The sequence below is a fragment of the Homo sapiens genome, chromosome 9 (assembly GCF_000001405.40).
Source record: "Homo sapiens chromosome 9, GRCh38.p14 Primary Assembly".
Lineage (NCBI taxonomy): Eukaryota > Metazoa > Chordata > Mammalia > Primates > Hominidae > Homo > Homo sapiens.
This window is the reverse complement of record NC_000009.12, coordinates 70497645-70511696: the sequence shown is the minus strand read 5'-3', so window position 1 is coordinate 70511696 and position 14052 is coordinate 70497645. Positions and strand designations below refer to the sequence as shown.

The 14052-nt window shown below is 42.0% G+C and overlaps 1 long non-coding RNA gene across 4 annotated transcripts in view; it reads right to left on the bottom strand.

Annotated features, from left to right (window-relative positions):
- KLF9-DT (KLF9 divergent transcript) overlaps positions 1 to 14052 on the bottom strand; it is a 136304-nt gene that overhangs the window by 38797 nt on the left and 83455 nt on the right. Inside the window, exon 5 of one of the 4 annotated variants that reach the window (XR_001746708.3) lies at positions 11206 to 12104. The exons of the other annotated variants lie outside the window; for them this stretch is intronic. This is a non-coding gene — a long non-coding RNA (KLF9 divergent transcript). Of the gene's footprint in view, positions 1 to 11205; positions 12105 to 14052 lie in introns of those variants that run through there. 4 annotated transcript variants of the gene reach the window in all.

Here is a 14052-nt window from a genome sequence, read left to right as displayed (position 1 = left end):
CCAAAATATTTATGTAAAAAGAAATATGCTTAGGGATAGTGCCTGATTACAAAGAAACGACTCTCTCAAGATGGGCTATCAGGAAGGCTGGGAAGCACAGATGGGAAGTGAATTTCAAAAACCTTTGGCAGTGGTGGGTATCCCTTGAGTCATCCTTCCCAACCCTTGGTTCGCATCATGCATGTGCCCACTTTATGGAAAATTCCAGCTGTGGCTGCATATATTCTACTTACTCCAACAATTATCTATCGTATCTGGGCCTTTCACTCCTTACCGATTCTTCCGAACCTTCCTCTGCCCACACCATTGAACAAGAAGTCTTCTAAGAGTTTCCCCTGCAAAAATGAGTCTTTTTGATTGAATGACCTATTTGTACCTGCTGTTGGGGCTCTTTCTCCTCATCCTGACAGAGACCACCAGAGCTGTCCTCTCTCTCCTGTGCCTGCCTCTGACTGCAGGCATGGATGGGGGTCTGGGACTCATCCCAATCTATTTTCTCACTAGCTAATGAGCAGGAATTCTTAATTAGACTTAGTTCTTGGGGAATCATTTCTGTGGATGTTATAAATAACAGGGTGTGGTCTGCATTCGGAATCATAAAAATTAATTTTGGCTATGTGGTACACTCTGCCATTCCTATTCAGCCATCTTTCATGGCCACAGAGGTCCAAGAACACTAAGGCCATATTCCTGCCACCAAGGCAGCAGGGTTTTGAAGAACTTCTGACCATAATTTTAGTTGAATTATACTGCCAAACTTCCAAATTATTTGTTTTTTGAGACAGAGTCTCGCTCTGTCACCCAGGCTGGAATGCAGTGGCACAATTATGGCTCACTGCAGCTTGGACCTCCTGGGCTCAAGCAACCTTCCTGCCTCAACCTCCCAAGTAGATGGGACCACAGGCACATGCCAACATGCCCAGCTAATTTTTTATTTTTAATAGAGAAAAGGGCTCACTATGTTGCAGGCTGGTCTCAAATTCCTGGGCTCAAGCAATTCTCCTGCCTTGGCCTCACAAAGTGCTGGGATTACAGGTGTGAGCCACTACACCCAGCCCCAACCCTCAAATAACACAAAGACCTGAGGAAATATGGGGAGGCCCTAGCAGCCTGGACTTGCAAGTCCTCCGAGATTATATTTGAATAGAGTAGGAACCACATGACTGAAATGTTTAGGAGAAGGAAAGGCTGTTAGAGGTAAGAAATACAAATGCCCTATACTAGAGAAATCTGGTGCCCTACACTAGGCTTCATCAATCTGATAGGCAGGTAGCACAAATAAATATGTGAAACAGGTGAAAACTGTGCTTAGCAGGAGAGCACACACTCCACCTGAAGGGGGCAGCACCTGCAGCTGACTGTTACCAGGCCGCACAGTGGCCCCAGTGTCACCAAGCTCGATTTTTCAAGAGACCCCAGAAATCTGGACTTTTTAAAATGTGAAATCTGCCACTATTTAAATGTTTGCACATTTTAAGTCATACATATTCTCCAATAAAAATTCAACAAAAAACTTTTCCAAAAAGTTTCAGTGAAAATAGCCATGGGCTGCCAATTGCATCTGATAGCCCAAAATGTCATTCCCTGGAAGGCAAGAATATTTCTATTAACCTGAAACACTGTGGCTCCTGCTCTATGTTGCCCAGAGCTCAATTTTTGTTTTGATCTTCTAGTGTGATGAGAATCTGCACATTACATGGTCACACGACACAGAACTGTAGCTGATAGTTTGCCATTTCCGGAGCTGATTTCATGTACTTTTAACAGATCTCACAGGCTTACACAGGGATATTCTTCCTTCTGGAAGGTTGCAGAGATTAAATAATTACAGCCTGACTTCAGCTACTTCTGTCTTACCTCAACCACCACTGCTGGCTCCACTCTGTTCCCCAGAGTGCATGGCTACCCAGCATGGTCAATACTTATTTCTCGGTACCCTTTGGCAAGAATGAATCATACTGGATATAAATAAATAAATAAATAAATCCATTCATCCTAGGGGAAAACCAAAAGGTAAAGCAGAACAGTGAGCAGAGAAACAGGGAAAACAACACTATGAAAACACTTCGGGCCAGTGTGGTGGCTCAGGCCTATAATCCCACCCAGCCCTTTGGGAGGCTGATGTTGGAAGACTGCTTGAGGCCAGGAGTTCAAGGCCGACCTGAGAAACATAGCAAGACTCCACCTCTATATTTTATTTTTAAAAAAATTTTTTTAAACAACAAACCTAAAAGTAGCAAAATCCACCTTTATATTTTATTTAAAAAAATTTTTTTTAAACAACAAACCTAAAAGTAGCAAAATAAAGCAAATAAACCTAATTATATGTCTAGTTGATGGCATAACCACACAGAGATAAACTATTTCCTATTACTTTAAATATAGGACTGGACAAAAAAGCTATATTTGGCAATTATATTGTTGGCTATAGTATTGATATTGTTATTCTGGGACTGTTGTGTCTGTATTGTAGAATAAAGCAATTTAGTAGTTATATTGTATCATTGGGGCAGAATCCAGTGGCTTACGCCTATAACCCCATCACTTTGGGAGGCCAAGGCAGGTGGATCACCTGAAGTCAGAAGTTTGAGACCAGCCTGGCCAACCCTGTCTCTACTAAAAATACAAAAATTGGTGGGCATGGTGGCAGATGCCTGTAATCCCAGCTACTCGGAGGCTAAGGCAGGAGAATCGCTTGAACCCAGGAAGCAGAGGTTGCAGTGAGCCAAGATCACACCATTTCACTCCAGCCTGGGTGACAAGAGCAAAACTCCGTCTCAAAAAAATAAAAAGAAAACAAAAAAAATTAGTTACATTGTATCACTAGCAATTACAATTGTCAACATGTGAGAAGATAAAGATATAAGACTGACCCTGGGCAACATGATGAAATCTGTTCTCTACAAAAATTACAAAATTTAGCCAGGTGTGATGGCATGTGCCTGTGGTCCCAGCTACTTAGGAAGCTGAGGTGGGAGAATCATTTGAACCTAGGAGGTTGAGGCTGCAGTGAGCTGTGATTGCACCATTGCACTCCAGCCTGGGCAACAGAGCAAGATCCTGTCTCAAAAGAAAAAAAAAAAAACAGATGTAAGTCTGATAAAACTCTGTAGAACTAAATTTTAATTAGAAATTTTACTTTGGAGAATTTGTTTTTAAAAACCCTAATAATGCAATTAATAAGCATTTTCTATTAAATATATATATGGGTATATATATTTCTTTGTTTGTTTGTTTTGAGACAGAGTCTTACCCTGTTGCCCAGGCTGGAGTGTAGTGGAATAATCATGGCTCACTGCAACCTCAACCTCTCAGACTCAAGCGATCCTCCCACCTCAGCCTCCTGAATAGCTGGTATCACAGGTGCATGCCCTCACACCTGGCCTTCTATTAAATATTTAATATATTCAAGACTATATGTGCAATAAGCACAGAGTACATATTATTGAGCAATCAAGATCTGTTATAAAAATACGTCTTGTGTTAGGCCATAAAGCAAGTTTCAATAAATCTTAAATGAATAATAGCAGAGCAGCTATGTTCTTTAACCTCAATGCAATAAAATCAAAAGTCATTAACAAAAAAAAAATATAGCTCAAAAAGACAAAAAACAAAAACAAAAAAATCCCCCCAGGGCCAGGCACAGTGGCTCACACCTGTAATCCCAACACATTGGGAGGCTGAAGTGGGTGGATCACTTGAGGCCAGGAGTTCAAGACAAGCCTGGCCAAGATGCCAAAACTCTGTCTCTACTAAAAATACAAAAATTAGCCAGGTGTAGTGGCGCACACCTGTAGTCTCAGCTACTCAGGACGCTGAAGCATGAGACTCGCTTGAACCTGGAGGCAGAGGTTGCAGTGAGCCAAGATCACAACACTGCACTCCAGCCTGGGCGACAGAGTGAGACTCTGTCCAGAAAAAAAAAAAAAAAAAAATTCCCCCAAACCCACCATATGTTAGGGAAGCTACATAATATATTACAAAATAACTCTTGGATCAAAAAGGAAAACAGAGAAAGTTAAATTCTTAGGACTAAATGATAATGAAAAAAACTACACATTAAGATGTATGGAGCACAGCTGAATAAGTACTAACTTTGAGGGAAATTTATAGTTTTAAATTGGGCCAGTAGGTGATAAGAAAAAACAAGATTGGCATTTAATTCAAGAAACTGGAAAAAGAGCACAGAGCAAATCGTCGCCCCATAAAATAAATTTTACTTCAATGCCTTTTTTCTTTTTTCTTTTTTCTTTTTTCTTTTTTTTTTTGAGACAGAGTCTCACTCTGTCGCCCAGGCTGGAGTGCAGTGGCGCAATCTCAGCTCACTGCAACCTCTGCCTCCCAGGTTCGAGCAATTCTCATGCCTCAGCCTCCCGAGTAGCTGGGATTACAGACATGTGCCACCACACCCGGCTCATTTTGTGTATTTTTAGTAGAGATGGCGTTTCACTATGTTGGCCAGGCTGGTCTCGAACTCCTGACCTCAGGTGATCCGCCCACCTCAGCCTCCCAAAGTGCTGGGCTTATAGGCATGAGTCACTGTGCCCGGCACCACCCTTTTTTTTTTTTTTTTAATAGGGTTGCTCTTTCACCCAGGCTGGGGTATACTAGCGGGGTTTCGCCATGTTGCCCAGGCTGGTCTCAAACTCCTGGGCTCGAGGGATCCACCTGCCTTGGCCTCCCAAAGTACTGGGATTACAGGCATGAGCCACTGTGCCTGGCCAAGAAATTTTACTTTGAATGCATGATGTATTTTATCTTTAAAATGTAAATGAAAATTTCCTGGCTTTATCACCTAAAAAACTTAACACACAACAACCAACCCAGTGTATGAGTTCCTCTGGCACCCTAATTGTGCTTTCTAAATATCATTTTCCACTATTAAGAAAAAAAATCTACTTAAAGAGATGATTGCTTCCAGGTCTAAAAACCAAAAATGTACAAAATGAACCTAGAACATCTTGTCATACCTGAAAGCAAGGAAGCTATCAGAATCCTAGGATCATACCAAAGGACTTGGGAACCAACATATTGGTCTAAGATGGGCAAATGTGGCCATCAATTAAAGATAAAAACTTCAGTACATTAAAAACACAGGTATGTTTCTATCAATACGTTCATAGTGATTTTTTAAAAAGCACCGTCATTGGTTACTTTTGGAAATTCCTAAGGATCCAACTCATTATCTTGAAAGTAATAAACAGAAGAGAATCAAGCACTTATTTTGACTTTCCAAAGGGACTCTATGTCAAGGCAACCAAATAGTTTACATGGGAAAGTTTCTCTTTACAGATGTGTTCCAGCAAATAAAGCATGACAAAATTAGAATGCTATCATTTTGCAACCCTACTGAGTCAATGTCTCTAGGCAATAAATTTCAATGGCTGCTCACAACCCTAAGGGAAGAGACCTGGACAGACAACAAACAGCAACTCTGAAGTCTTGGGTCGGGGGTGGGGAACTCTAGGTAACAATTTGCACAAATTTGAATGTACCACAAGGGATAGAGAATAGAGAACACATTAAATGGTACCAGGGTGAAATGTGGAACAGTCAGGAGTATCACAGGTAACCAAGTTGCTCTTGGATCGATGCAACTGCCGTCAAATAACTAAAATCTTTAATGAGTCCTAACCACCATTGAAGAATGCACTCATTTTCAGTGAAGCTGAGGCATCTAACTGCTCAGATCGTTCCACCTTCTCTTGCCTTCTACAATCATATCCCTAAAATAAACCCCATTAACCGAAGTTCCTGATCATATCTATTTCTTCATTAAAAGTGTCCTACACATTAATAAGAAAGTACATACGTCGTGAGGCCGAGGCGGGCAGATGGCTTGAGCTCGGGAATGTGAGACTAGCCTGGGCAACATCGTGAGACCTCATCTCTACAAAAAAATAATAACAAAAAAGTAGCCAGGTGCAGTCACACATTCCTGTAGCCCCAGCTACTTGGGAGGCTAAGATGGGAGGATTGCTTCAGCCCAGGGGGGTCGAGATTGCAGTGAGCCAAGATCACACCACTGCACTCCAGCATGGGCGACAGAGTGACACCCTGTCTCAAAAAAAAAAAAAAGAAAAGAAAAAGGAAAGAAAAGAAAAGAAAAAGAAAAAGAAAGCACAAAATTTCCTCCCCAGCCTTTGTACACAAGCACTTTCCACCAGAGTTCCATTGACATGCCACTGAATTTGGATAATCATGTGAACCTGGATTTGATAGGAAACAAATGAGAAAATTAAGTCTAAAGGAGTTTTGACTGCTTGAAGAAGAAAAATGCTGTGAAATGTCTATTTCTATCATTTCCATATGTTGGACAACATTTAGACCACTCAAAAATATAAATTATAACTCACAGAGCTTTATTATTTATATTAAAATGGAAGCTTAGAGAACATCTCCAGAAACTGTTACCATTCAGAGGGCTGTGACTTTTCAGCAGGGAGATTTCCAATGTATTGTTAACATAGCATTAAAGGTATGAAACAATTTCTTAAAGGTCTAAAAATGGCAGAACAGCTCCCCTGTTTCTCATAGTGTCTCAATCTTTTCCATATTTAGTGAGCAAGAGTCAAAAATATCAAAACTCCTGGGAAATTCTCAGTAAAAGAATGTATTTTTGCTCAGCATAATTTAGTTCCGTTTGTGGTTTTATCGTGCAAGACTCAGGATCTCTTATACTTGAAAGAGGGAGAAAGAGGAAACATGTCTGTCAGCCAATGGTCCAAATATTCCTTTATCATTTGGCCATTTTCTTGCACATTCATACGAAATCAAAAAACGGGATGAAAAAGAATGGGAGCATGGCCTAAAATAACAAACAATCCTTAGTTAAAAAATGCTAAGCTATGATTTGATCATCTTATACATCAATGGTGACAGAGGAAAATCTTGTATTTTCTATGGCAAGACATCAAAGGAAGCAAATTTATGATAAATAATACCATGCAAAAAGCAGGGCATTGATTTTAATTGCTCTTAATGTATACTGCAAGCCAGAGAAAAGGCAAGACTTTGGAGAAAGTAATGATTTAAAAATAAAAAACAAAAAACGTAAAACCCTGAGATCATAGTGTCTGTGAGGATAGAGAGCTGGGTTCTGCTTAAGCCATTCTCTAAAGCTAAAAGGAGACATTTTTCCCTTTTCCGAAAGAGCTATCTATATCTACTACCCTGTAATCTTGACCCATGTTAAAATCTTGGACCTCTAGCTAGATTTGCCATTACTATGATTGCAGAACTCAAAATATCAGCTAAGAAATTAATTTAGTGCTGGATAACTGAAGTAACTAGAAGATTTTTTTTTTTTTTGAGATGGAGTCTCATTATGTTGCCCAGGCTGGAGTCCAGTGGCGCCATCTGGGCTCAATGCAACCTCTGCCTCCCGGGTTCAAGCGAGTCTCCTGCCTCAGCCTCCTGAGTAACTGGGACAACAGGTATGCACCACCACGCCCTGCTAACTTTTTGTATTTTTAGTAGAGACGGGGTTTCACCATGTTGGACAGGATGGTCTCGATCTCTTGACTTCGTGATCCACCCACCTTGGCCTCCCAAAGTGCTGGGATTACAGGCGTGAGCCACCGCACCTGGCAGGAGAATTTTTAAAGGTATAATATTTGCTGTAAATGTTTTGCGAATTCTGTTTTTAGTATCTATTAGTAATGACTCGTTTAAGATAGTGTCATCCAAACTGGAATGAATTTTTCTCTTTTTTAGAGATGGGTTCTCGTTATGTTGCCCATGCTGGAGTGCAGTGACTATTTACAGGTACAGTGATAGCACACTACAACCTTGAACTCCTGGGCTCAGGTGATCCTACTTCAGCCTCCTGAGGAGCTGGGACTACAGGTGTGCACTACCACACCCGGCTGGAATGAACAAATGAGAACAATGAAGATTATCCCCAAATGACCTATCCACTACTTTTTAAATTGCCACACAGATGCTACAGACAAGATTCATTGTGTTCAATGATCTCAGGTTTCTACTAGTATACAGTCATATAATTTGAGAATTGTTGAGTTTAATGGAATCCTTTTAAAAAATCTAGTTCTAGTATGGGTTTTGTTATGTAATTGAGGATGTATGTCTGGAGCACTGTGTTTTGGACTCTGGCTACGGTTGGGCTCAATGGGAAAAGATAATGTAGATCAATTAGAGATGCTACTGGCACTTCTTGGACCCGGGAGTTGGGGGGGACAGGACGCTTCAGTACATGTACCACAGATTTACCACCCCACTCAGGTCCAACATCCCATCTGGAAGTGAAAGATTCAGATCTATTTCTAAACTCTTCCACTAGCTAGTCTGGGCCAATAACATTAGAAAGCAAAAATAAGTCACCCAAAATATTTGAGCCTGCATTTACTTACCAGCAGTCAAATGAAAACAGTAATCAGTAATACCTGCTCCAGCACTCAGACAGGGCAGTTGACAAGAACAAATAAAACAATGTTTAGGTGAGGGCTTTGAAAACCCAGAACACTCCTTGAATATCAGTTTAATTAATTTTTTAAAATAATAAATTATCCTCTATAGATGTCTATTTATCATTCACCTAGCTTCAGCTTATACATATGTGAATGTTCCAGTATCATTAGGAAATAAAACCAGATAGAACCATTTTTAAGCACTGTGCCAGTGGTGTTTTGTTTCTAAGGGGTGAATATTTTGGAAAGTTTTCATTTATCAGTTATAGGTATTTATACATCCCTTTTATCTGCCAAGAGTTTGAGACAACATACAAATCCTGTAAAAGTACATACAATAAACAACAAAACCAAGGGAAAGGGCCACAAAACTGTCAGACAAGATGAAAAATTTAGATCTGAGCTTCCTGGCAACCAAGGAAAAATATTAAGCAACACAGTTACATAATTCTCATTTTTAGAAAAGACAAAAAAAGATTTAGTTAAAAAATTAGAATTATGGCCAGGCGTGGTAGCTCACACCTATAATCCTAGCACTTTGGGAGGCTGAGGCAGGCAGATTGCCTTAGCTCAGGAGTTCAAGACCAGTCTCGGCAACATGGCAAAACCCCATCTCTATTAAAAATACAAAAAATTAGCCCAACATGGTGGCACATGCTGGTAATCTCAGCTACTCAGGAGGCTGAGGCATAAGAATCGCTTGAACCCAGGAGGGGGAGGTTGCAGTGAGCCAAGATCGCACCTCTACACTCCAGCCTGGGCAACAGAGTGAAACTCTGTTTAAAAAAAAAAAAAAAAATTAGAATTAATTTTATCTTCCACCATGCTGAAGATAGTCTATATTTTTTCATCAAGCCTTCTATTAGCCCATGTAATACAGACCCAGCTAACAATGTCTCTCCAGAGACCTTTAAATATAAAAGAGTCCGTGTCACCAAGAAAGAGGATATACTTTGATTCTGGCCCAGCATCAATTTCAAATTCTGAGAGCACACCCAAGGGGCAGCACAGAACCCTATGAAGAACATAGAACTGAGAATCTAAAACCAGTTCATGTCCCAGTCTCCCCATCTGTTGGCTGCGTTGCCATGGGCAAATATTTTAATTCTCTGAGTCCCAGTTTTCTCATCTATAAGAAGAAATAATTATATCTACCTTGGAGGATTGTAATAAGGAAAAAACAAGTCTATTTGGCAGACACTTCATCTGTAAAGCACTAATGACATTTTCATTACTATTAACTCTAATGTTTTATAGTCCATGAATGTATCTAATGTAGCAATGCCCAGAGCATATTCAATGCATGCTAATCCCATATGTTCCCTCTCAGAGATTTAAAGTGTACACTGGCTGTTTTACTTCATCCAGGCTAATATAACAAAATACCACAGACTACCGGGCTTCTAAACAACAGAAATTATTTCTCACAGTTCTGGAGAATGGGAAGTCCGAGATCAAGTTACCAGCAGATTAGGTGTCTGGTGAGGGCCAGCTTTCTGGTTCATAAACCGCTGTCTTTTGGCTGTGCCCCCACATGGTAAAAGGAGCAAATGAGCTCTCTGGGGCCTCTATGATAAGAGCACTAATCCCAATTCTGAGGGTTATGCCCCCATGACCTAATCACCTATGAAAGCCCCATCTTTTAATACCATGACCTTGGGGGTTAGGACTTCAACATAGGAATTTGGAGAAGACACATTCAGTCCATGGCATTTGGCATGTTGCAGACCTGAGCGGTCCTAAAAATAAAATGCTCTGTTTAGCTTGTTTTAACGCAGTATTTCCAGAGTACAGGCCCCACTTTCTATTTGCATGATTCTATTGTGTAATCCATCCTTTGGGAACATTATATTAACACAAGGGCTCTCAATTAGGGGTGATTTTGCCCCCCAGGAGACACATGGCAGTATCTGAATATATATTCAGTTATCACAGCTGTGGTCAGGGCAGGGGCTGAGATGCTACCATAATCTAATGTGTAGAAGCCAGGAATGTTGCTAAACATCTTACAATGCACAGGACAGCCTTCCACAATAAAGAAGTATCGATCCCATACAGCCAATAATCTCAAGCTCAGGAAGCCCCAATCTAATCCATTTTTAAAAAATATTTATATTTCTAACCTGTATACTGCTAAAGGGTTAACAGTCCTAGAGGTATATTATCTTCTGTGAACTGGAATATCTTTTCTTCCCTCCAACCTCATTTGCAGTAGGCCTAGTTTATGTATTTATAGTGCTCCAGGGCTTCAAGAGCAATCCATGGGGCCCAGCCCTCACCCTTGACAACTCTGATTAAATCCCTTACAGCTTTGTTCATTCTCAGCCACGGTCATAATCTCACAGCTGTGCTGTGTATCAGCACTGCCCCCCAATTTTCCTGCTTCTCTCAGTTCTAGCCATCTTTGAACCTTCTCCAGAGACAGCAGGTCCTTCTTGAAGGGCAGTGACCAGATCTACACCCAGAATTCCAGATACAGGGGACCCTTGCAGTGAGCTGGATGCTTCCTAAGAAAAGGTGTATACCAACAATATACTTGCCAGGCCACGACAAAGACCTAGAAAGTGTCACTTCAGGCCAGGTGCAGTGGCTCACACCTGTAATCCCAGAACTTTAGGAGGCCGAGGTATGTGAATTGCTTGAGCCCAGGAGTTTGAGACCAGCCTTGGCAACATGGCAAAACCTTGTCTTTACAAAATCAAACATTAGCTGGGCATGGTGGCATGGCTGAGGTGGGAGGATAGCTTGAGTCCAGGAGTTCGAGGCTATAGTGAGCTGTGATCATACCACCGCACTGCAGCCTGAGAGACAAAGTGAGACCCTGTCTCAAGAGAACAAAAGTGTCACCTCATAATCATAGTTTGCATGATGTCTTTCTATGTGTCATGTGTACAAATATCAGCTGAAGTGTGCCCTTTTCAGCTCCCATTCTGCTCAATGGAAGAAATTTAATCTCAGTAAATTCAGGATGCCTGTAGATTTCCATTTCCTCAGGGCTCCCAAGATGTCAGGGGCAGGGTCTACCAGGTCCTTCATGTCACCTCCATACTGGTCCTCTGCTATGTTATTCCAGTTCCTCTTCATGGCCACAGTCTCCTGTGTCCCATCCACGCCACTATCATGTCCCTTGTGCCTCAGTTTCCCCAGCCTACCTGGGGCTCCATTGTTCCTCACGCAGACTTGGCCCAGGGACGTTCAGGGCACAGGAACCAATATTTTTTCTCCCCCTCCAACTCCACTCTAGGGTACTTTTCAGTGTTTGCCTGTTTTTGTTCTTCATTCTACTCATCACATATTCTCTATGCCCTGAATCCCCTTAGGAGGCATGCTTTTGAAACTCCAAAACTTAAGCTTTTGAACCTCAAAAGCTTTTCTTTTTTTTCTCAAATTCCCATCTCCACCAGCAGTTTCAAAGTCTGTTTAGACTCTTAGCTTTCTCTCTGCATTTTTGCTAAGTCATTCATTCATCTAGAGAATAAAAGCAGAATGTCTTTAGTCTGGATTCAGGGACAGGTTAGGGGCAGAAGCAGAGAAACTTTGGTTAAATCTCAAAATATGATTATCTCAAAATTTGTGAGCTCTCCTGCCACTTCTGGGTCGACTTCAAGGGTCTGTCCATGTCTTCTTATATCCAATCTTAAATCCATCAAACAACAAGGTCTGATGCTTCACACCCTGAAAGAGTAGAGTACAGGGATAACAAATAGATTTTATCTCACTGGACAAATTCGATTGATTGGAATGACTGCCTGGAGTAGTGTTGAAAAGGCTGAGGCCTCAGCTGGGCTCAGTGGGCAAAAACGGATTCAGCACATCTGCCATGGATATGGGAGGAGGGATGTGATAGCATGCAGGCCAAGAATCACTGGTTTACTGTTATTTGCAAACTTACTGTTATCATCTAGAGCCTCCCTTTACCACAACATATAAGTAAACATTGTTAAAAGGCTTGATGGAAAGCCTGCAAAAAGAGGGAACCCCGAGTATAAAGGATGCCAAAAAAACAGGATTGTCTCAGCACCAGCAACCCAAGTGGTACCCTCTGGAACTGGGAATGGGATATGCGTAGATTCTCAGGGCCCCAGCATGTGGTCCTTCACTTCTCCCCAGCTCCCCAGCCTGCCCTCAGGGAAGAATGGAAGAGTATATGGGGTTTGTACCTTCTGGAGTAAGCAGAGAAACTTGATTGCACAAACTAGTTATTTCATGAGCAATGGGAGCCAGTGATGATTTTTAAGTGAAGGAACAAGATAAGAGGGGATCTTTAACAGAACTAACCCAGCAGCTGCACATAGAATGAAGTAGACGGGAGAGTATAAAGGCAAGAACACTTCTTGGAAATTTGCTACAGTAGGCCAGGTGAGGAGTGCTCATGAATGGGAATGAGTGCAGAGACGGGGCCAGCAGGCCACCCTCACCTTAATGCAAGTCAAACCACAGGCCTTAGAGAAGCCCAAGGGTCAGGACTTTCTGCAGCATCTGCCTTTGCTTTTAAGGGAGCTACAGATTTGTAAAAGTCAAAATGCCTCAAAACAGAATGCTGCTAGCCTGGCCTGATTTAGAGAGGCCTAGTTGGGGACCCTAAAAGGAGACATGCCCACTTCCAGGTGGCTGCATGCCCAAAGGGAACTTCTGCTACAAAATGTGACTCTAGGCCACCCTGACAAAGGTCAGGCACTTGGGATGTGGCAGCCGCTCTTTAGCTCTTTCCTTTTGGTTATTTCTCTAAGACTCAGAATAATTCCTTCAAGGTGTAAATCAGCCCTTCCCACTGAAACAAACTAAATCAAAAACACAGAAAGAAAAGCATGCACAGCACAGAGATGAGATTACCAAGGAAGATCACCTCGGCCTAGAGCTGCTTTTTGATCAATCAACGCAGGCAACTTGGGGCATTGGGCAGCATGGGGGCTGTATATCCTGCCTGGAGTAGAAAGCAAGCATAGAAATAGTAGAAGCCACTCTACAGGGTTTTCTCCTTTGAGAAAAGCGAGATTTAGGATCCCCAAATCCATCCCCCTCCAGTTTCCTCCTCCCCACATTGACCTGCCTTTTTCTCTTTATTTCTGTCTCATCTTCCCTCCCCAGTTTGCCTTTCTTGCTCCCTCTCTGCTCTGCCTTTTTCTTACCCCTCCATCCAAACTTGGCAATAACAGAATGTACCTCTGGGTCAACCTCAAAGAACCTCTAGCAGACAATTTATGATCATCTCTTCCCAATCCCCATCCTAGTATGAGCTGGGCAGCTGTCCCTGGAAGATGGCTGAGTTATCCACAGTCACTTCTTCACATATTCCTAATACCTCATCACCAATCAGGAAAATATTTGGATTCTGTATGCCAAGCCTGCTTCTGCCTGGCTCTGCTAGCTTCCGTTACTGATGACACATGGGGTGAGGGGTGGGCCGGTGAACCTTCATGCTGGCTGCAATCAGTGGGACATTCAGCTACTCACCCCACCCCAGCACAAAATGAGACATAAACATTGGATGCCACCAACAGGTGCAGACCAGGCTGCGGAGTTCCAAGGGCAGAGGAGGCTGGGAACCCAGGGAGGCTGGGAGGAGAGGTAGGAAGACAGAAGGAGCACCCCAGGTCAGTGTGGATGAGTAAAGAACCCCAAC